The sequence below is a fragment of the Homo sapiens genome, chromosome 16 (genome assembly GCF_000001405.40).
Source record: "Homo sapiens chromosome 16, GRCh38.p14 Primary Assembly".
NCBI classification, from domain to species: Eukaryota; Metazoa; Chordata; class Mammalia; order Primates; family Hominidae; genus Homo; species Homo sapiens.
In genome coordinates, this window is record NC_000016.10 from 31,523,207 (window position 1) to 31,546,019 (window position 22,813).

Here is a 22,813-nt window from a genome sequence, read left to right on the forward strand (position 1 = left end):
ACAATTAAAAGCCTTTGCTATGATTTAAATGTATGAGGCAAAAATAAATGTCTACAAAACTTGTGTGGGAGTATACACAAAGATTCTTTAGAAGGATTGGATGAAAGAATTTGAAGACAGTTAAAGGAAAGAATCCCTAGCTGACATTACTTTTCCTCCTGAAACATGCAGTGGGGCTGCCCAGGCCTTTGTCTCCATTTGTTCTATTTACCTGTAGGAAAATAAGACTTGGTTCTCATCATAATTTTAGCAGTCATGACGTACATGGCCTCAAGGGAGTTCCAGAGGATGTTTTAGGCTCCAGGAGCCATTTAAGGGATGTTTCTTTCCAAAGAAAATGTTCATGTCATGAATTTTATTCCACTAACATAATCTGAACATACGGGTCTACCTTTAAATAATGGGCCAGATGACCCCTGTTTATCTAGGAGTGCAGTCTTCTGTCAGGGCAGATGTCCTTTCTACTGTGGAGAATTGCATTTTGAGACCCTATGAGTCTGAGCATATCTGTAAGGGGCTGCTGCTGTCTATTATTAGGGCGGCCTCTTTAGCTTTGGCTCTACACCATGTGGCTTGAAGATTTTCCTTGAATTTGACCTGAGCCCCTGACCCCACCCACATTGCTGGGGAGGAGGGGCCCGTTCTGGACTCTGGCACCTGTAACTCCTGACCCCCGGTCTTGCTTGCAGCGGAAAAGGAGAGGCAGAAGAGGGAGGTGCACACTCAGCCACTCTGGGCATCCTTCCTGGGTGGACTGGGCCCCCTGCAGGGCCTGCTCTCACCTACCCAGGAGCACAGCTGATCTCGGCTGGGTCTCCCTCAGCACACTCAGGATGTGTGGGGCAGGTGTCTGCGAGTCCCCGGGGGACTCAGGTTCCTGGCCAGTCTCACTGCCCCCTGCCCCAGCATTGAGACCCTCATGTGGCTGCAGATGTGGCTGATAGTGCCAATCAAGGGAGCCTCTGTCTTCCCAAACTTAAATTTCCCCTCCCATAACCTATAACTTCAGCCCCCTCCATTTTCTGAGCTAAGCTCCAATTAGTGAAAACAAAGTCAAGTGGGAGTCAGGGGACAGGAAAGTGGCCCAGGGGTGGGGCAGAAGAGGGGGAAGGGACAAGTCTCTCTCGAATGGATCCAGAGTGAGCTCCTCCCTCTTGCGAGTAGCCATGCTGCCAAGACGCTGACCTTCAGATGCGCAAGGCTCATGTCTCCTCCCCAGCCCTGGGACCCTCTGGAGGCTGCAGGTCCTGATTGCTGTGCCAGTCACAGCAGGAACAGGCCCCAAAAACGTCACATCTCCAGGAAATAAGACCAAGGTTCCACCTAACCAGTTCAGCTCTCACCTCCCTCCCAAAATGTTCACAGGGGAAACCATGGGCCAAACTATGTAACATGAAATCTACAACCTTTTTGCCCTGACTCCAACCTGGTACTGCCACGAGCAAGTCAGGGTTTTGCGTTGACTGAGTGGGATTTGGGTCATCAATTCCAATCAGATTTCTGGAGAAGGCTCTTCTTTCCCTGATGATTGAGGTCTTCATTGCAGTCCTCTCGGTGGAAGGAGAGGCCTTCCTGGAAGTCCAAACAGTTCTCTTTTCCTCCCTCTGGCTAATTTCTTGTTCAGCTGAAGCAGAGCCTGCCTCGATGAGGGAGTTCCTATTAGGTTTCTTAATTTTTAAGAGACATCACCAGAAGTGAATTCCTCTGTAAATCAGCAGTGCTTTATTTTTCTGTTGCAGAATGAGTTTGTGATCCTGGTTTTCTACAATTCTTTAGCAAATGTGTTTTTGTAATCTCACGTTCAACCCTTCCTTTATTGATGTATCTAGCATGCTGAAAGGGAATCAGTTTCCCCTGCTATTCTCAAGACACTGGTTGAGGGAGGAGACTTCAATTCTTCACTACATCTCACTAATTTTACTCTGCAATTCATTATAGTCCAGGTAGTTAGATTAGTTCCAACTGTGCCAGGAAATTTTGAGGAATGAACAAAATTAGATTTTTTTTTCCTTTTTTTTTTAAAAGATGGGGTCTCACTATGTTGCCCAGGCTGGTCTTGAACCCTTGGGCTCAGACGATCCTGCCGTCTCTGCCTCTTACAGGCATGAGCCACTGTGCGTGGCTTCAATGTTAGATGTGTTCTTGGCAGCATGGTCTTCTAAGCCATCTGAGGCAGCACCATCTCTTTTGAGTTTCCTGGCATGTACCAGAGACCTTCCTGAAACTTTTCCTTAATGAGCTTTGGAAGGGCATTGGGATCTTGATCTTTCCCATCTGGTAATGAATTATTTTTAAAGAAATATTTAAGAAAAATTATTTAGAAGTGAAAGGATGTAGGAGACAGTCGGCCTGGTGTGATGTGAGAAAGACTGGACCTGGTGGTCATTGCTGGCTTTCAAGCTGGAAAGGGACCAGGAGTGAAAGAATGTGGGTTCTTCTATAGACTAGAAGAGGAAAGAAAAAGAACTCTTTTTCAGAGATTCCAAGGGGAACACAGCCTAGAGGACAACTTAATTTTAGCCTAGTGAGTCTCATTTTAGATTTCTGACCTCTAAGTCTGTAAGATAATAAATTTATTTATTTATTTATTTATTTAGAGACAAGGTCTCACTCTGTCACCCAGGCTGGAGTGCAGTGGCGTGATCTTCGCTCACTGCGGCCTCTTCCTCCTGGGTTCAAGCGATTCTCCTGCCTCAGCCTCCCAAGTAGCTGGGATTACAGGTGCATGCCACCATGTCTGGCTAATTTTTGTATTTTTAGTAGAGAGGGGGTTTCGCCATGTTAGCCAGGATGGTCTCGAACTCCTGACCTCAAGTGATCTGCCTGCCTTGACCTCCCAAAGTGCTGGGATCACAGATGGGAGCCACCGTGCCTGGCCGGTAACACATACTTTCCACCCTATATAAATGAAAACATGTTCACATGGAAACCTGTACACAAATGTTTATAGCAACTCTATTCACACTTGCCCCAAAGTACAAACAATCCAGATGTCCTTCCGTGGCTGAATGAACAAACTACAGTGCATCCATACAATGCAATGTGTCCACTGACACTTGTGACAACTTGGATGGAGCTCAAGAACATCATGCTGACCAAAAAAAGTCAGTCTCAAAGGTTACATACTGTATGATTCCATTTATATGACATCCTGAAAAAGGCTTAACTGTAGTGATGAACAGATAAGTGGTTGCCAGAAGTTATGGGTGAGGGTAGGGGTGGCTACAAAAGGGTAACGTGAAGGAGTGGTTTTTGGGTGACAGAAACATTCTGTATCTTAACTGCGTTTGTAGTTACACAAATCTGTTATAAAATTAATAAACTAGGCCAGATGCGGTAGCTCACACCTGTAATCCCAGCACTTTGGGAGGCCAAGGTGGGTCGATCACTTGAGGTCAGGAGTTCGAGACTAGCCTGGCCAACATGGTGAAACCCCATCTCTACTAAAATACAAAAATTAGCTAGGCGTGGTGATGCACGCCTGTAATCCCAGCTACTTGGGAGGCTGAGGCAGGAGAATCGCCTGAACCTGGGAGGTAAAGTTTGCAGTGAGCTGAGATCGCATCACTGCACTCCAGCCTGGGCCACAGAGGGAGACTCCCTCTCAAAAAAAAAAAATTTAATATACTGTACACCAAAAGGAAGTCAGTTTTGCTGTATATTGATTAAAAAATGCTACAACCAAAAAGGCAAATCAACAAAGCTTTATGAGTGTATAGGCACCTATGAATGTTGGGTTTTGAATGGAAAAAAAAAGTGACAGGAAATATACAATGTTTAATGCTGGTTACTTTGGAGGGGGCAAAAATGATTCAGTTTTTCAGTGTACGTTTTTGTATTGTTTTAATTATTTCAATTAGTATATAGTGATTTTGAAATTTGAGAAACATCTACTGAAAATGGAAAATATCTGGAAAAATATTTAAAAAGAGGAAAAAGAGTATTTCTGCTTTATTGGGTACCTGTTGACAGGGTAGTAAACAAGACAAATCCATCTCCATTCTTTTTTTTCTTTTGAGATGGAGTCTCGCCCTGTCACCCAGGCTGGAGTGCTGTGGTGTGATCTTGGCTCACTGCAACCTCTGCCTCCTGGGTTCAAGCGATTTTCGTGCCTCAGCCTCCCAAGTAGCTGAGACTACAGGTGCCCGCCACCACGCCCGGCTATTTATCTCCATTCTTATGGAGCACAGCGTGGTGGAGTTCAGTCCACACGCTTACAGGTGGCTTATCTGCAAAATGTGTCTAAAAAGAAATTTTATAGGATAAATATTTTGTACATGTTTGAAACAGTGCTTGGCACAAATGAATAAATGTAATGCAAGCTGCTATTAATACATCATCTCCGAATTGGGAGAATCATTGCGATCACATCGTTGTGATTACACAAAAGCCTCTGTCATGTAATAGGGCTCAGTAAACGTCAATTTCCATAGCATTTCGAGCCTGGATACTGAAATATGGGGCAAAAAGCAGGAACATGCCCCTGGTTTGGCTCTTGCCTTCTTGCATTTCCTGGGTTTCCTCATTTATCTTTTTTTTTTTTTTTTTTGGCCTTGTTATCTTTCTACCTTCAGGGAAGCCTCTCCCTTCTTCTCCTCCCTAGAATGACCTATCACCCTCCTTCAGGACCTAGATGCAGGGCGTTTCTATCTTAGGCTGACACTTGACTCCTTGCCTACATCTATAGCTTGGCACAGAGAGATTCACGCACCCTCAAGAGTGTGGGTGAGACATATACAGCCTGTTAGACCTGAAGGTGAGCCCAACCTGGGAAAATCGTGACCTCAGAGCAGGGCAGGATGTGAAAGGTTTTGGAAAGGAGATAGCCCTGCAGGGCAGGAGGGATTTTTAAGGGGAGGAAGTGGGTTGGGGGAAATACCCAGTGAGGAGGGAAACAGATATGTAAATTCTACCCTTTTCTCTACCCAGGCAGATGGCTCTTCTTAAGGCCAATAAGGATCTCATTTCCGCAGGATTGAAGGAGTTCAGCGTTCTGCTGAATCAGCAGGTGAGTCCAAGCTTTCCATTTCAAAGGACTGGCCTGGAGACTGGGGGGTGCCGGGGAAGTGGAGGAAGAGGATAATTGGAGCTGGTGAAGTAATGGTGGAGTTGATGGAAACAACGAGAGACACGGGATACAATGCAGAGGAAAGAGAATGTGAGAGTTGGTGCTGTGGCACTATTCTAGTATTCCCGAATCCCATTGCTGACCACATTCTCCCTTGCCAACTGCCTCTCCGCAACCCCCCAGGTCTTCAATGATCCTCTCGTCTCTGAAGAAGACATGGTGACTGTGGTGGAGGACTGGATGAACTTCTACATCAACTATTACAGGCAGCAGGTGACAGGGGAGCCCCAAGAGCGAGACAAGGCTCTGCAGGAGCTTCGGCAAGAGCTGAACACTCTGGCCAACCCTTTCCTGGCCAAGTACAGGGACTTCCTGAAGTCTCATGAGCTCCCGAGTCACCCACCGCCCTCCTCCTAGCTCAGGGACCCAGCCCCTCCTCTCTGAGAAACTCTGACCTTCATGTCCTTAGGCTGTGCTCCTGCCACTCTACCCTGACACCTCAATAAAGACCAGTGCTGGTTTTGTTGGACTTCCTGGCTTCTCTTTCATGGTCTGTCCTGACATGTGGAGGCACTCGGTCCCTTTCCTTCCGCCCTCCTTCTTAGATATGCTCTTGGAAGCTTAATTCCTTACAGCAGAGGTTAGCAGCCTTGAGTGACCACCGGGCAGCGATTCTAAACTAAAACAGGCTGAACGAGGGCCAGGAAGGCGGGACTAGAGAGAGTGCAGAGCTGCAGGGGAGGGGGTGGCAGAAACAAGAAAGGGGGATAGAAGTCCTCCAGACATTGTCCTGTGACCTGCTTGTCGAGGAGGAAACTGTTGGAAGTCTCCCAGTCTTGTTCATCCTGCGCCAGGTCCACCGCCTCGACTTTTCAATCCCCTGTCCTTAGCCCCAGCTCAAACTACATTCTAGGATCTTCGGACTCTGACTACCGCAAAATACCTCCCCGGAGCCCCAGGCATCGCAGGAATTTAGAGTTGGAAGGGATCCTGGGAACCCTTTAGCGCGCCCCTTATATTTCAGGAGGGGAAGCCACTTCCCTTTGGCTCCAACATCCCTGGGCGCAGATGCCAGGATTGGGAAGCAGAGGAATCCGCCTTCCCCCCACCCCAAGCTTCTCAGATCAATTCCCGGTCTAGCTCCCTTTCTCCCAGACCTCCAGACTCGAAGCCTCTATTTTAGGGCTCTGGGCGGAACCAGGGACGGGCCAGACTCAAGAGCTTTTTAAAAACGAAATGAAGGTGTTAGACCCGCGGCGCAGTCTCCAGGAAAAGCCTCCACGCGCAGAGGGGAGGGCCCTCCGGGGGAGGGTGCGCGGGGCGGGGGCGCGCGGGGGGAGGGGGTTCCCGGGGTGCTGAGCGGGGGCGGGGGTGCGCGGGGCGGGGGCGCGGCTAGGAGGCGCCGCACAGCAATCAGACGCGGCTCAGGGTGCGCGCGGGGAGCTGGAGGGCGCAGTTCTGGACCTTTTCGGTGTTCTCTCTAACGCGGGAAAAGTTTGGGGCCCAGAGGGATTGCTCCTCGTTCCAACCTCCAGCAAGCTTTCCTCTGGGACTTGTGAACCGACTGTTGTTTTGTAGGTCTCTGCAGCCTGGATCAGGGTGGAAAGGGAACCCGCTCAGTGTCCCCAGCGGTGCTTCCAACCCTGGGGTGTGGTCGGCCCTAGATCCAGCTTGGGAGAGTGGCGCCTCCCAGGGAAGCAGGCGGCGAGCTCCTCTGGGTTGGGGTCGGTGGTCCAGGCAGAGTCTGGGGCCTTCTCCACGGCACCTCTCAGGAAATCTCAGTCTGTGAGTGAGGACCAGAGCCCGCTCAGGCGGGACAGTAGTCGGCAGCCTCACCTTTGCAAGAGAGACCTGGCCTGGTGTGTGTGGGTGGAGGAAAGTGAGTGGGGGACGCTAGGAGAGCGCACAGCACAACGCTCCGGTGCCTTATGCAGAATGGCGAAATGTTTGCATGTAACCCACGCACATCTCTTCGTGGACTTCACATCATGGCTAGATTACTTACAATACCGACTACAACGTCAATGCTGTGCAAATAGTTGTTACACTGTATTATTTAGGGAGTAACGACAAGAAAAAAAGCCTGTACATGTTCAGTACAGAGGCAACCATCCATTTTTCTCCCCAAATATTTTCCATCCTTGGTTGGTTGAATCCACAGATGCGGAACCCACAGATACGGAGGGACCACTGTATTTGTCTTTCAGCTTAGCTGAAAAGAATGTTAGAAGCCGCTTTGGCTCAATTCATGAAGAGGAATTTTCCATACCTTTATAACTATCCAGCTATGGGAGCTGCTGAGCTAAGCACTTCTCAGGTGCTCAAAGGAAAATGACCAATTACAGGTGTAAGGTAGAAAAGATTCTCACTGGGAAGTTCAACATTGAAACTCCATTCCGACCATTCCATAAGCTTGTGCAATTGAGAAGCTGCAAAAAATATTTTTAAGACAGAAAAATCTGTTACCTGCACTTTCTGCTCTCATATTACTATCAACGAAGTGACTGGTTATAAATCTACAAGAAGTAAAATTGGGGATATTTTGATTTTTCAGAGACGGTGATATGAACCTGATGGTTCATAATAATAAAAATAAAATAACTAAAGCAGAGAGTGCCCCAAATCCATTACTGTTCCTGAAGGAAAATAAATTAGAATTAGTAAGAATAACCTTCTTTTGCTTAGCAGTATCTGAATTAATACTAGAAATAAGATTGTAAATAAATGGTAAAACATTATAGCCATAACCCTGCCCTTATCCTCACCCTCATATTGAACCTGACCTAGAGCTGACCCTGAACTTGAGCCTCACCTCTAGCTTCATCTTGCCCCTGATCATAATGGACACCTTGCCCTCACAATGACCCTGACTCTCACACTGACATTGCCTCTCATTCTCATTCTTATACTGATCCTGATGCTGAATTGGACCCTAAACTTTACCTGATCCTAATTTTCACCCTGTCTCTGACCCTCAACCTGAATCCTACCCTGACCCTTACCCTGAAATTGACCTTCACTGACCCTTCCCTTAGCATGATGTTGACTCTGACCCTCACTATGACCCTGACCCTTGATCCTCAACTTGACCTAGACAGTGATCATAATTATGACTTTTTTTTTTTTTAAAGAGGCAGGGTCTTGCTCTGTCACCCAGGCTGTAGTGCAGTGGTGCCAGCATGGCTCACAGCAACTTTGACCTCCAGAGCTCAAGCGATCCTCCTACCTCAGCTTCCTGAGTAGCTGGGACCACAGGTGCATGCCACTATGCCTGGCTATTTTTTTTTGTATTTTTTGTAGAGATGGGGTCTCACTATGTTGTCCATGCTGGTCTTGAACCCCTGGCCTCAAGCAAGCCTCCCACCTTAGCCTCCCAAAGCACTGGGACTACAGGTGTGAGCCACTGCACCTGGCCTTTAACCATGACTCTTGACCCTGAAGCATACACTCTCACCTTGACTCTGACCTTGCTCTCGTTCTGACACCACCCCCTCCTTCACACCTGAGCCTTACCCTGGTGCTCACTCTCACCTTGCATCTGACTGTGACACTCACCAGACCCTGATCCTGACTGTCACTTACACACTCTATCTCGTTCTCACCCTGACCCTGATTCTGTACTTGACCCGGACCCTCACTTTTGCCTTCAGTTTTAGCATCACCCTTAATCCCAACCGAACATTGAAGCTAACCCTACAGTGGCACTCAACTTGACCCTCCCCTGGCCTGGAAATCTTAATGTCACCATAACCCTCATCATGACCATAAATCTGACCCTTACCTGACCCTGACTCTGCTGCTTACTTTCCACTGACCCTGACTTGACCCTTATGGTCTCCTTGATCCTGACCTCACCCTGACTCTATAAGGACCCTTATCCATACCTTCACCATGTCCTTGAACCTGCTGTGAATCTGAAACTTATGCTGAGCCTGAACTACACACTCAGCCTGACCCTGGCACTAAGTCTTTCTCACTCTGTGATGAACTCTGACCCTGAAACTGACTCTGACCCTCGCCCTGACCCAGGCTTTGAATGTTTGCCTCACACTCCTTATCCTCACTCTGACACTGACCCCCACTCTGATCCTCACGATGACTCTCAGCTGGACTTTGACCCTGGAACATGACCCTTACCCTCATCAAGACTCAGCAATTTGCTCACACCTGTAGTCCTGGCACTTTGGGAGGCTGAGTTGAGAGGATCACTTGAGGTCAGGCATTTGAGACTAGCCTGGGCAACACAGCAAGACACCCCACCCCCATCTGTACAACAAAATATTCACATTGCATTACAAATGTCTGCTACATCATTGTAGTAAATTCTTTCTTTTTACTCCTATTAGTAGCTGCAACACGTTCTTATGATAAAACTCTGTGCCCAATTCTGACCACTGGAACAAGCTGGACACATCTGGCTTCTTTTTTTTTTTTTTTTTTTTTTTTTTGAGACGGAGTCTTGCTCTGTCATCTAGGCTGGAGTGCAGTGGTGCGACCTCGGCTCACTGCAGCCTCCGCCTCCCAGGTTCAAGCGATTCTCCTGCCTCAGCATCCCAAGTAGCTGGGATTACAGGCACCCACCGCCATGCCTGTCTAATTTTGGTATTTTTAGTAGAGACAAGAGTTTCACCATGTTGGCCAGGCTGGTCTCAAACTCCTGACTTCAGGTGATCCGCCTGCCTCAGCCTCCCAAAGTGTTGGGATTACAGGCATAAGCCACCAAGCCCAGCCACTTCTGGCTTCTTACCAGGGCTGTGACTTGGTGAGACAAAAGAGGAATCAGTGGGAAATTTAAGGAAGCCCTCTCTCGCAGGCTCGTGAAAGTGCAGGGACAGCTCCTGAGAGTGAGGCCTCCTTAAATGTTGTGTCCTGCATGCCTCACTTGCCTTACTCTCCTCTAGGGCCTGCTTCTTGTAGCTCCTAAAGGGTTTTGCCTTCTGGATATTTTTCAGTTCTCCTGCAAATGCAGATGGGCGGCCCATGCCCACTAGTGTTCCAGGCACATCCCAACATGTCCAAGTCCACTTAGAATCCACTGGAATCCCCGATACATTTGTTTGATGCATTTATATATTAATAATGCAGTAGCTCATGCCTGTAATTACAGTACACTGGGAGGCCAAGTTGGGAGGATCACTTGAGTCCAAGAGTCCTAAGAGACCAGCCTGGGCAACATAGAGAAACCCTGTCTCTACAAAAAATACAAAAATTAGCCAGGTGTGGTGGTGCGTGCCTGTGGTCCCAGTGACATGGGAGGCTGAGGTGGGAGGATCACTTGAACCCAGGATTTTTTTTTTTTTTAGATGGAGTCTTGCTCTGTTGCCCAGGCTGGGGTGCAGTCGTGCAATCTCAGCTCACTGCAGCCTCTGCCTCCCAGGCTCAAGTGATTCTCCTGCCTCAGCCTCCCAAGTAGCTGGGACTGCAGGTGCGTACCACCATGCTGGGCTAAAGAGTCCAGGAGTTCTAAGACACCAGCCTGGGCAACACAGGGAAACCCTGTCTCTACAAAAAATACAAAAATTGGCTGGGCGCAGTGGCTCACACCTGTAATCTCAGCACTTTGGGAGGCTGAGGCGGGTGGATCACCAGTTCAGGAGATCGAGACCATCCTGGCCAACATAGTAAAACCCCGTCTCTAGTAAAAATACAAAAAAATTAGCTGGGTGTGGTGGCACGCACCTGTAGTCCCAGCTACTCTGCAGGCTGAGGCAGGAGAATTGCTTGAACCCGGGAGGCGGAGGTTGCGGTGAGCCGTGATCCTGCCACTGCATTCCAGCCTGGGAAACGGAGCGAGACTCCAGCTCAAAAAAAATATATATATATGTGTATATATATATTTTCAAGGTAAGTAATCTAGCTTCTGTAAGCCTCAGTTTCCTATTTTTGTATGTGTGAGGGAATAAACTACTTGATCTTTCTATAGCAAATGTCATGTTTTTGTGAAAGGTTTTCTGAAGGTAGATGAACCAAATTAAAAATTCTGTAGATGTCAGAGGCCCATTTGTCCATGAGCATCCCCTCTCCCAACCTTGAAAATTACTGTATTGATTGGATTTTCCATATAAAACTTCTATTGTAGCCTCCAGAGTTTGTGCACTCATGAGAATTAATTACATTTTTCATGAATTTTTTTTTTTACACTTTCTTCCCTCTTACAACTTAAGAGTTTTTACTGATACCATAAACAAAACAAAACAAACAGGAATGTCACATAATGGAGTTAGTGGCCAAAATTAAAATATAAAAGACTTTAGTGTATAAATTAGGCTGGGCACGGTGGCTCATGCCTGTAATCCCAGCACTTTGGGAGGCTGAGGCAGGTGGATCATCTGAGGTCAGGAGTTCAAGACCAGCCTGGCTAACATGGTGAAACCCTGTCTCTATTAAAAAAAAAACAAAAACAAAAATTAGCCAGGCTTGGTTGCAGGCACCTGTAATCCCAGCCACTTGGGAGGCTGAGGCAGGAGAATCGCTTGAACCCAGGAGGTGGAGGTTGCAGTGAGCTGAGATTGTGTCTTTGCACTCCAGGCTGGGCAACAAGAGCAAAACTCCGTCTCAAAAAAACCCCCAAAAACAAACAAAAAAAGACTTTAGTGTATAAATTGAGTTGACTATAATGACTGTATACTTTTTGTTGACACATTATTCATTACAAATGTTTTGGGAGAGATGTGCTTGCATTTTCAATCTTAAGAGCGCATAGTTTTGTAGTTATAAATTCTATTACTGCTATATTGTTTCTAATACCTTTTACAGAAGCGAAATGTCTTCCTGCCACTAAATAGCATTTACCTGCAAGTGGAGAAGGAATCAAAGCTCATAAAACTGCAATACAAAATTTGTCTTCAGCAATAGGTTTAATTTTATTTTTGTAGATTTATGAACCTAGAAATTTATTGCTGGATATTTAATATATCAAAACAGCAGAACCAGGAGCTTGTATTAAGAAATGTATCAATAGCTGGGCGTGGTTGCTCTGCCTGTTATCCCAGCACTTTGAGAGAACGAGGCGGGGGATCACCTGAGGTCAGGAGTTCAAGACCAGCCTGGCGAACATGGTGAAACCCCGTGTCTACTAAAAATACAAAAATTAGCTGGGTGTATTGGTGGGTGTTTTAAATCCCGGCTACTCAGGAGACTGAGGCAGGAGAATCACTGGAACCCCTGAGGCGGAGGTTGGAGCCGTGAGCTGAGATTGCACCACTACACTCCAGCCTGGGTGACCAAGCATCACTGCACTTCAGCTTGGGCATCTTAAAACAAAACAAAACAAAACAAAAAAAAAAAAGAAAAGAAAAGAAAAAAAGAAAGAAATGGATTGGGAAATTCGTGATTTTCCTGTTTTTTTTTTCTTTTTTTTTTTTTAGTTAGACAAACTGAAGAGGCAAACAATGAGAAGTAACGTGACTTCTCACACAGCTCAGTGAACGTGGGATCTGCTCAGATGCTCTGATTTCTAAGCCCCCCACTCCCCACTCCTAAGTGTTAAGCTATTCTAACGCCAGGATATGTTGGAATTTATTCATCAACAAAAACTGCGGAACAGTTCTAAACAACGAAATATCATGTTAAAAAAAAACCGCTCTGGCTACAATAAGGAAACAGATTGTAGATGCAGATAGCATCAGGGAACCAGTAGAGAGGCTGCTGTGGTGCCTCCAGAAGGTAGTGGGGTGATTTAGATAAGAGGAGTATAAATAATCACGTGAAATTCTCTCCTGGAGCTCCCACCGCTATCTGCCTAAGTTCCACTAAAGAAGTAGAAATGTGACACTGATCGTTTACAGATCATCTTCCTTGAGTTTACCTAAAAGAAGGCAAAACCTTCAAACGTCTGTGTAGCTATCATTGGTAGGAACCGTCATACTCCAGAGCCAAAACACCAAGAGTGTGGACCTGCTCCTCTAGGGCTCTGTTTTACTTATAGGACTCATATTAATTTTTTTCCAACAAAGTTTAAAAGTAAGTCCTGTGTGATATCATCCAGCCATGGAAATTCTGTTATTAAAATCTGAGCCTCGCCGTGCATGGTAGCTCACATCTGTAATCCCAGCACTTTGGGAAGCGGAGGCATGTGGATCATTTGAGGTCAGGAATTCGAGACCAGCCTGATCAACATGGTGAAAACCTGTCTCTACTAAAAATACAAAAATTAGCTGGGCGTGGTGGCTTGTGCCTATAATCCCAGTTACTCAGGAGGCTGAGGCAAAAGTATTGCTTGAGCACAGGAGGCAGAGGTTGCAGTGAGCCCAGAGAGAGGCTCCATATCAATAATAATAATAATAATAATAATAGTAATAACATCTGAGCCTCAAAATCTACAAGGAGGAGGACTTTGCTTCTCAATGTCATTTTTCTAAAGGGAGCCGGGAGCCAAGTGTATGGCTTTCTTCCCTTGTTGCCTGCAGTCCTGAGCGGTTAGTGAGCCTGGCCAGGAAGGACTCAGGTGCCCACATCCTCTTCTAAACACAGCCAGAAGTCCATTAGGGTTGAGAATTATCACGTCATTTTCCATCACAAGATTTTTATCAAATCTATTTAAAAATTTTTGGTTTGATTAAAAAAACCCTTTGAAGTCCAAAAACAAGTTTCAAAAATCTAGTTGGTAAAATACAACGATGTCAAGATTGCAATGGGTAGGCGAAGTCCCAGGATTTGAGAGCAGGAGGAGCGCGTTCCTGGGCTGCGGTCCTGTCCTCTGGCTGTGGCCTTTCCAGGCTCCCAAGGCTGCGCAAAGGCTGCCCACCCAAGGCAAGGTGGGGGCTGCGGGGCCGCTCCTGGACGGAAGCGCGGCCTCCTAGGCCTCGTTTTCTGTTCCTAGATGTGAGTCCAATCCCACTAGGAAGGTCAGGTTCAAAAGGTTTGCCAAAGCAAAGCTGCGAACACTTCCGCCTCAGAAGCACACTCCTGTATAAGAAAAACAAGGGTATGTGTGTGTGTGTGTGTGTGGGGGGGGGGGTATCCATTTGAGAGCAAAGGAGCCAAGACGTGACGTTAGGTGACAATTTAAGTGTACTGTACAATTCACCGACCTCGATGCCTCCCGGCCGCCCTTTAACTGATCTGTGGGAACTCCAGCATGCCCCGGGCCGCGCCCCAGGGCGCCCCCAGAGCCCATCGCCCCAAAGTCCTGCAGCCAGGACGCTGTCACCAGGGCCGGCGCCTCTCAGTTCCCACTCCGCGACTCCCTGGCCAGAGCCCAGGAGCAGCCGGGCCCAGGCCGCGCCCCCGGCGTTTCCCCGCGGAGGTCATGAGGTCCCCACGGCCCAGGCCCCGTCCCCGGACAGCCCCGGGTGCCCCAGGAGCTCCGGCCGCAGCTCACCTGGGACCGGCCTCCCGTGGAGCCACCCCTTGCCCAGCCGCCCCCAAGTTCCCGCAGGAGGAACTGGCGACAGACACGTCCAGCCCGCAGCCGCCGGCCGCACCGGCGCTGCACTAACTGGGACGCGCCCCGGGGCCGCGCTGGCTCGGATCCGCCCAGACCCCCGCTCCTCCATTGCCGCCCAGCGGGGATCGCGGCGCGCTGCCCTCCCTTCCTGGGTTCCCGGGGCTGAGCTTCCTGGGAGGTCCGCACACCCCCAACCGCCCGATGCAAATTAAGGAGATTCCGATTCCAGAGCCTGAGGACACCGCTGGGGGTCATGGGAAGGTCACGCTGTTGATTCTGGTGATGGCTTCAGGAGGTATTCAACTTCATCACATTTTGCACGTTGAATATATGCGGTTATTGGTATTCCATTTTACCTCAATAAAGCTGCTTTAAAAAAATTCTGTACATGTTGTTTGGCAGACTTTGGGAAATAGAGGACTGTACATTTCTAGCCATTAGCATATTGAGTCAGAGGACAAGTCCATGTAAAATAGTTATGTGTATTTCCAAATTACCACCTTAAGTGTTTGAGCTAATTTTTTTTTCTTTCTCCAGTAAGGAACCATGGTATCATTTTTTTCCACTGACTGGCTCAAGGATATTAAGTTTTTTTTTAATTCGTTTTTAAAATTCTTTAATGCTAACCTAGTAGGCAAAAAAGAAAAAAACGATGATCTATTTTTTTCCATGACTTTCATGGTAAGTGAAGGTGAACATCTTTCCATATCTGTGAGGTGGTTTCCCATGACTGTCATTACAAATGACCACAAACTTGGCGGCTTAAAACATCATTAATTTATTATCTTATGGTCTGGGCGGATGGCTCACGCCTGTAATCCCAGCACTTTGGGAGGCAGCGGCAGGCAGATCACCTGAGGCCGGGAGTTCAAGACCAGCCTGGCCAACATGGTGAAACCCCATCTGTACTAAAAATACAAAAATTAGTCAGGTGTGGTGGTGGGTGCCTGTAGTCCCACCTACTCTGGAGGGGGAGGTGGGAAAGTCGTTTGAACTTGGGAGGCGGAGGTTGCAGTTAGCCGAGATCACACCACTGCACTCCAGCCTGGGCGATAGAGCAAGACCTTGTCTCAAAATAAATAAATAAACAAATTTATGATCTTATGGACTTAGAGATCGGAAATCTGAAATGAGACTCACTAGGCTAAAATTAAGTTGTCCTCTAGGCTGTGTCCCCCTTGGAGTCTCTGGAAAAGAGTTCTTTTTCTTTCCTCTTCTAGTCTATAGAAGAACCCACATTCTTTCACTCCTGGTCCCTTTCCAGCTCGAAAGCCAGCAATGACCACCAGGTCCAGTCTTTCTCACATCACATCAGGCCAACTCTCTCCTGCATCCTTTCACTTCTAAGGACCCTTGTGATTTTGCTGCACCTACCAGGATAGTCAAGGATGATCTCCTCATCTCATGGTCAGCTGAATAGAACCGTAATTTAGCCTGTAATCTTGACATGGACAATTAACAAGAACTTTAAGTTGTGAGAACTTTTAATTACAGGGATATTACTCACTTGGAAACGGAGGCTCACAAAGTTGCCAAACCACATGGCCAGTACGTGGGTATATGGAGTGTTAATTCAGACATGGTTTGGCCTCATAGATGCCATTCTGTGACTATCAGGAGTCCCTGCCATACTGAAAACCCCTAATCCTGATCAAGGAAACCAAGCTTCAAGGGATGTGGGGACCTGGAGACAGGTGAGATGCAGGGGGGTTGTTACCAAAGGCATGATCGGGCATGTGCCGCCCATGTCTCTTTGTAGGGTGGAGTTGGCTGAGAGTAGGCAGCAGTGGTGTAACTGATGGCAGAGCAGACAGATCATCCGGGGTGAGCAGCCACTGCCGGCTGAGCTTGGCTTGGCTCTTTCTGGGCTCTGGTGAGGGAGGTCTCAGTAGGAACTCCCACAAGGGTGGACCCTGGAGGCAGCATCCAGGCTGGAGGATTTGGGGACACCCTGAGGATGAGACAGCAGCCCCAAAGCATACTCTAGGAGTAGCTCTGGCTCTGGCACTTTCTTGGAACTTCCTCTATACTTTGTGAACTTTACATAATTGTTTAACTGCTGAGGATAGGCCCCCAAATCTGGCCATAAACTGGCCCCAAAAGTGGCCATAAACAAAATTTCTGCAGCACTGTGACATGTTTGTGATGGCTGTGACACCTATGCTGAAGGTTGTGGGTTTACCGGAATGAGGGCAAGGAACACCTGGTCCACCCAGGGTGGAAAACTGCTTAAAAGCATTCCTAAACCACAAACAATGGCATGAGCGATCTGTGCCTTAAGGACATGTTCCTGCTGCAGATAACTAGCCAGAGCCCATCCCTTTGTTTCGGCCCATCCCTTTATTTCCCGTATGGAATACTTTTAGTTAATCTATAATCTATAGAAACAATGCTTATCACTGGCTTGCTGTCAATAAATATTTGGGTAACTCTCTGTTCAGGGCTCTCAGCTCTGAAGGAGTAAGACCCCTGATTTCCTACTCCACATGCTATATTTCTGGGTGTGTGTCTTTAATTCCTCTAGCGCTGCTGGGTTAGGGTCTCCCTGACCAAGCTGGTATTGGCAAGTGGCACCCAATGTGGGGACTCGAACCCAGGTTGAAGGATCACCGGAGTGAGGGTTGGAGAACGTGGAACTAAGTTGGAGGACACCCGAGTACTCTTAAGCAATCCCCATGGTGAGTAAGAAGGGGAGCTTGGAAGCATCAGAGTAACAATGGGACAAGTGTGGGCTCTGGTTTGTTCCACCTTGGAACACTCATGATGAGGAGGAAGGAAAGTATAATGAAGTAACAGAGGAGATGACAGAGCAGGTTTGTTTGCCAGCTAAAGCTAAAGCAGCAAAGGAGGGAGAGGTTCATCCCTGCCCTTCTGCACCCCCTCATTATTTTGAAGAAAAAGAGTGGCCTGACCCCCCAGATCTTTCTTTTCGGGCAGACACTGGGCAAAAAGTAGTTGCCCCAGTGACTGTTTGAGCAGCACCTTGAGCGACTGCTCTCAGTTCTATTCAGGCAGGAATTCAGAAAGCTAGACAAGAGGGTGATATAGAGGCTTGGCAGTTTCCCTGTTAGAATACACCCCCCAGATCAACAGGGAGATATTACAGCTACATTTGAGTCTTTTCCTTTTAAATTCGGAAAAAGGCATGAGGGGCCAGTCCTGGGCCCTGTTCCAAACTGTGACATTTCCAGCTCAGGCCATTCCCTAACCCCCGTACAATGTCTGTCACCTGCCACAGCCAGGAGTGCCGCAGTAGATTTATGCTGCACAAAAGCTGTGAGCCTTCTGCCTGGGGAACCCCAAAAAAAGTTCCAACAGGGGTCTGTGGACCCTTGCCAGCAGGGATGATAAGATTACTTCTACGCAGGTCTAGTTTAAATTTAAAAGTAGTGCAAGTACAAACAGGAGTCATTGATTCAGATTACAATGAGGAAATTCAAATTGTTATATCTACTTCTGTTCCCTGGAAAGCAGAGCCAGGAGAGTGTATAGCACAACTCCTGATTGTGCCATATGTAGAAATGGGGAAAAGTGAAATTAAATGAGCAGGAGGATTTGGAAGCACAAATAAACAAGGCAAAGCAGCTTATTAGATGGATCAAATTACTGATAAACATCCTACCTATGAAATAACTATCCAGGGAAAGAAATTTAAAGGTTTGATAGATACAGGAGTGGACATTTCAATCATTTCTTTGCAGCACTGGCCATCAATGTGGCCAATTCAACTCGCTAAATTTAACATAGTTGGATTTGGTAAAGCCCCTGAAGTATATCAAAGTAGTTATATTTTGCATTGTGAGGGGCCTGATGGACTACCTGGGACTATTCAACCAATTATAACTTCTGTACCTATAAATTTATGAGGGAGAGATTTATTACAACAATGGGGAGCACAAGTTCTAATTCCAGAGCAATTATACAGCCCTCAAAGTCAACATATGATGCATGAAATGGGGTATGTCCCTGGTATGGGACTAGTAAAAAATTTGCAAGATTTGCAGGAACCGCTTCCAGCAGAAAGACAAAGTTCCCACCAAGGTTTAGGATATCATTTTTGATGGCGGCCATTGTTAAGACTCCAGAACCTATACCTTTAAAATGGTTAACAGATAAGCCAATTTGGATAGAACAACGGCTGCTAAGAGAAACTGGAGGCTTTAGAGGACTTAGTTACTGAACAATTAGGAAAAGGACACATAGCTCCAACATTTTCCCCTTGGAATTCTCCAGTTTTTGTAATTAAGAAAAAATCAGGTAAATGGAGAATTTTAATTGATTTAAGAGCCATTAATTCAGCTATACAACCTGTGAGAGCATTACAGCCAGGATTCCCTTCTTCTGCTATGGTTCCAAAAAATTGGCCTTTAATAGTCATAGATTTAAAAGGCTGTTTCTTTACTATTCCTTTAGCTGAGCAAGACTGTGAATGGTTTGCATTTACGATTCCTGCAGTAAACAACCTGCAGCCTGCTAAGCATTTTCACTAGAAAGTGTTGCCACAAGGCATGTTAAACAGTCCAACAATTTGCCAGACTTATATAGGGCAAGCAACTGAACCTACTTGTAAAAAATTTTCACAGCGTTACATTATTCATTATATGGATGATATACTTTGTGTTGCCACCACTCTAGAAATATTACTCCAATGTTATGATCACTGGATTGGAGCACAGTGTTGGAGCATAGTGTGCCATGGCCACCCTATGTTCAACTGGTCTAAACAAAATGGTCAGATGGTAGAAATGGTAAGAAGTACAGCAAGAGTTCCTATTATATTGAAACATGGCAGTATAGTGGCACCTCAACCTCAGATGATATGGCCCGCTATAGGAGCTAAACATAAGGATTTGTGGAAACTATTAATGGTTCTTAGTAAGATCAAAATTTGGGAAAGAATAAAAAAGGATCTAGAAGGACACTCTACAAATTTGTCTTTGGATATTGCAAAATTAAAAGAACAAATATTTAAAGCATCCCAGGCACACCTGACCGTAATGCCAGGAACTGCAGTGCTTGAAGGAGCTGCAGACGGATTAGCAGCTATTAACCCATTAAAATAGATAAAGACACTTGGAGGCTCTGTGATTTCAATGGTGATTGTGCTTTTAATCTGTGTTGTTTGTTTTTGTGTAGTCTGCAGATGTGGATCCCGACTCCTGTGAGAAGTAGCTCACCGTGATAAAGCCACCTTTGCTTTTATTGCCCTGCAAAAACAAGAAGGGGGACATGCTGGGGATATCCCCCAAATCTGGCCATAAACTGGCCCCAAAAGTGGCCATAAACAAAATCTGCAGCACTGTGATTTGTTTGCGATGGCCATGACACCCATGCTGAAGGTTGTGGGTTCACCGGAATGAGGGCAAGGAACACCTGGCCCACCCAGGGTGGAAAACCTCTTAAAGGCATTCCTAAACCACAAACAATGGCAGGAGTGATCTGTGCCTTAAGGACATGTTCCTGCTGCAGATAACTAGCCAGAGCCTATCCCTTTGTTTCAGCCCATCCCTTTGTTTCCCATAAGGAATACTTTTAGTTAATCTATAATCTATAGAAACAATGTTTATCACTGGCTTGCTGTCAATAAATATTTGGGTAACTCTCTGTTCAGGGCTCTCAGCTCTGAAGGCTGTGAGTCCCCTGATTTCCCACTCCACATGCTATATTTCTGTGTGTGTGTCTTTAATTCATCTAACCCCACTGGGTTAGGGTCTCCCCCGACTGAGCTGGTCTTGGCATTTAACCAACCAGAATTTTGAAAGTAATGTTTATATATTTAAAAAGTTTTTTAAAATCAAACCCAATTTTAAAAATTAACTTGATAAAAATTTTGTGATGGAGAAAGATGTAGATGATTTTTAAACCTAATTTGTTTTGGTCAGTATTTAGAAGACTGCTGTGTGCACTTGAGCCCCTTCTTCACTGGACATTGCTGGTTATTCTGGACACTATGAGAATGAAGGATAGAAGCCATGTACTTGGCTATTGGCTCTTGTGGAAATGTAAAAAAATGTGAGGGAAATACCTCCTGCTTTTCCTCTTCTCTTATGTTTCGTAGGGGTAATAACCCTGTCCCCATATAACAGGCACAGTTACCAATAGCGACCTCATCAGCCTCACAGACGGGTCCCTTTCTGGCCCTCAAACCCCATTCTGGCCTCACCTCATCCTCCCAACAATGTCACCTACCATGTTCCTCCCACCTAAGGTATTCCAAGCTCATGTTCATTGTGGTCATGTTTTTTAAAAAAACTTTAGGCAAATTAAGTTGAACAGGATTTAATTGAGCAAAGAATGACTTGCAAACCAGGCAGCTCCCTTAACCAGAATAGGTTCAGAGAGACTCCATGCTGCTGTGTGGTTGGAGAGGATTTATGGACAGAATCAAGAAAGTGACATACAGAAAAAAGTACAGAAGTGAGCTGCAGAAACAGCTGCATTGGGTATAGCTTGGCATTTATCTTATTTGAACATGATGTGAACAATTGGCCGTCTTTGATTGGCCAAAGCTCAATGATTGGTACAAGAGCAGGCCATAGTCTATCTATACATCCAGGTAAGTTACAGTTAACTAGGTAGAGAGAAACTTTTAGGCCAAACTTAAAATATATAAGAAGACAGGTTTAGGCTAAACTTAATTTAACAATCTCCTCTTTTGGTCAAACTCTCAATTTTGTGTGTGACCAAAACTTAGGGCTTTAGTGCTACTCTGAGTCACTATCATGTTGGGCTTCTGGTCTCAGCAAATACATTCATAGATTGTGTTGTTTTCATGATTGTAAAAAGTAAAGTAGAGGTTCCTCTTCAAAGATTTTCCTCCCCATTTAATTAGGAATAAATAGTAACTTCCCTTAGAAGCAAAATTTATTCAAAGACCTGTGCTAACATTCTTAAATATCTGCTAGCCATGATAAAGAAATCAATGTACTTTGTGTTCTTAGCTCCCACAATTTAGCCTAAATATTTGCCCTGGCATGCTTATACTGGTTCAAGCAAGCATTAAGTCATAGCCTGTTCCTCTTCCTTATTTGAAGGTGTTTTTACCTTTCTTAGTATTCCACAAGTTACTCCCTCCTTCCTTTGTTCTCCTCTGCCTTTGACTCTTTTAAAAAGTTCTAAATTGCTAGCCAATTGGGACAAATACAGAATGTAAGGCCCCATTCCAGCCAGTGGAAACCAGGCACAGCAGTAGGGTGGACACGTCAGGTTATAAATAACCCTGTGTCCTTTGTTCAGTGTACTCTCTTGGCAAAACTGCTGGCAAGTGTAACCTTTCTGCAGGAAGTAAAAATGGCCTTGCTGAGTAAATTAAATTTATGTTCAAGTGCTATTTCTTTATAGCACCAGGGAACAAGCATTTCAAACAATGAGCATACATTTCTTTGAGTTTTTGTCATTCCAGTCAAAGAGATCATTTGCCATTCCATAGATGGCTGCAAACAAACATTTAATACTTTTGAGAGAATACAGAATACTTGGGAGATTACTGTTGTGAGTATCCGGAGGATAATACCAAGAGTTTGGAGTATGCTCCTTAGCCAGGGTCCAAACCAAACCAATTAAAATAAAATAGATCAAGGAGTGAGCTAGATAGAGTACTTGTTTTAACCCAGCAGGCTGTTTGTTAATTCCCTACAACTAAATCTCTCTAATACCTATGTATTCAACCATGTGCAGATTCTTCCACGTTCAGCCATTAGGTCATCTAGAGTTATTCTATTATCTAGCACAACTATAGCAACGGAACTTGAAGAAGACTGCTGTACAACCAAAGCCTTTGCAGTAGAAGCTGCTACAGAGCCCACTATGAGGGACAAATGTCTAATCATTGCCTCATTTATATTTACTCCAAACTATAGAAAAAGAGACCTAAGAAATGATGCCCATCGACAAGCGTGAAGGCCTCCTGGCAATATTCTCTTCACCCTATGCTGTAGGTTAAGAGGAGTGAACCAATGTTCTGTCTCTGGCTGATTATGGAGCAACAAAACTACCATTAAAATTCCTCATCCACATTGGCCCTTCATCTTTTATCCCTCAAGGCATAAGGTTGGCCATTATAAAATTGGCTTCAAAATACCCCACAAATAGGCTGGGTGTGGTGGCTCAGGCCTGTAATCCCAGCACTTTGGGAGGCTGAGGCAGGTGAATCACCTGAGGTCAGGAGTTTGAGACCAGCCTGGCCAACATGGTGAAACCCTATCTCTACTGAAAATACAAAAAATTAGCTGGGTGTGGTGGTAGGCGCCTGTAATTCCAGCTACTTGGGAGGTTGAGGCAGGAGAATTGCTTGAACCCAGATGGCAGAGGTTGCAGTGAGCCGAGATCACACCACTGCAACTCCAGCCTGGGCAACA

At 46.0% G+C, this 22,813-nt stretch overlaps 1 protein-coding gene across 3 annotated transcripts, besides 1 other annotated feature; it reads left to right on the plus strand.

Annotated features, from left to right (window-relative positions):
* Positions 4,694 to 5,597, plus strand: AHSP (alpha hemoglobin stabilizing protein). Of its 3 annotated transcripts, none has more exons than NM_016633.4 (3): positions 4,694 to 4,756; positions 4,930 to 5,008; positions 5,252 to 5,597. In NM_016633.4, exons 2-3 carry the CDS (start codon positions 4,934 to 4,936, stop codon positions 5,483 to 5,485), a joined length of 309 nt encoding a protein of 102 aa, NP_057717.1. In that variant the 5' UTR covers positions 4,694 to 4,756; positions 4,930 to 4,933; the 3' UTR covers positions 5,486 to 5,597. The 3 variants fall into 3 exon arrangements, with proteins under 3 accessions (NP_057717.1, NP_001305150.1, NP_001305151.1); NM_001318221.2 differs by having other exon boundaries at positions 4,934 to 5,008; NM_001318222.2 differs by lacking the exon at positions 4,694 to 4,756 and adding an exon at positions 4,771 to 4,808.
* Positions 15,415 to 16,614: an enhancer, noted in NCBI's record as "MED14-independent group 3 enhancer chr16:31549942-31551141 (GRCh37/hg19 assembly coordinates)". NCBI's record gives its function as "activates an origin of replication core promoter dependent on BRD2, BRD4, P300/CBP and CDK7 cofactors, and independent of MED14, by STARR-seq in HCT116 cells {active_cell/tissue: HCT116}" and the evidence as "EXISTENCE:reporter gene assay evidence [ECO:0000049][PMID:35650434]".

Coding starts and splice junctions, on each gene's coding strand:
- AHSP (NM_016633.4), top strand. CDS start 4,934: ATGGCTCTTCTTAAGGCCAATAAGGATCTCATTTCCGCAGGATTGAAG. Junction 5,009..5,251: donor GCGTTCTGCTGAATCAGCAG/GTGAGTCCAAGC, acceptor GCAACCCCCCAG/GTCTTCAATGATCCTCTCGT.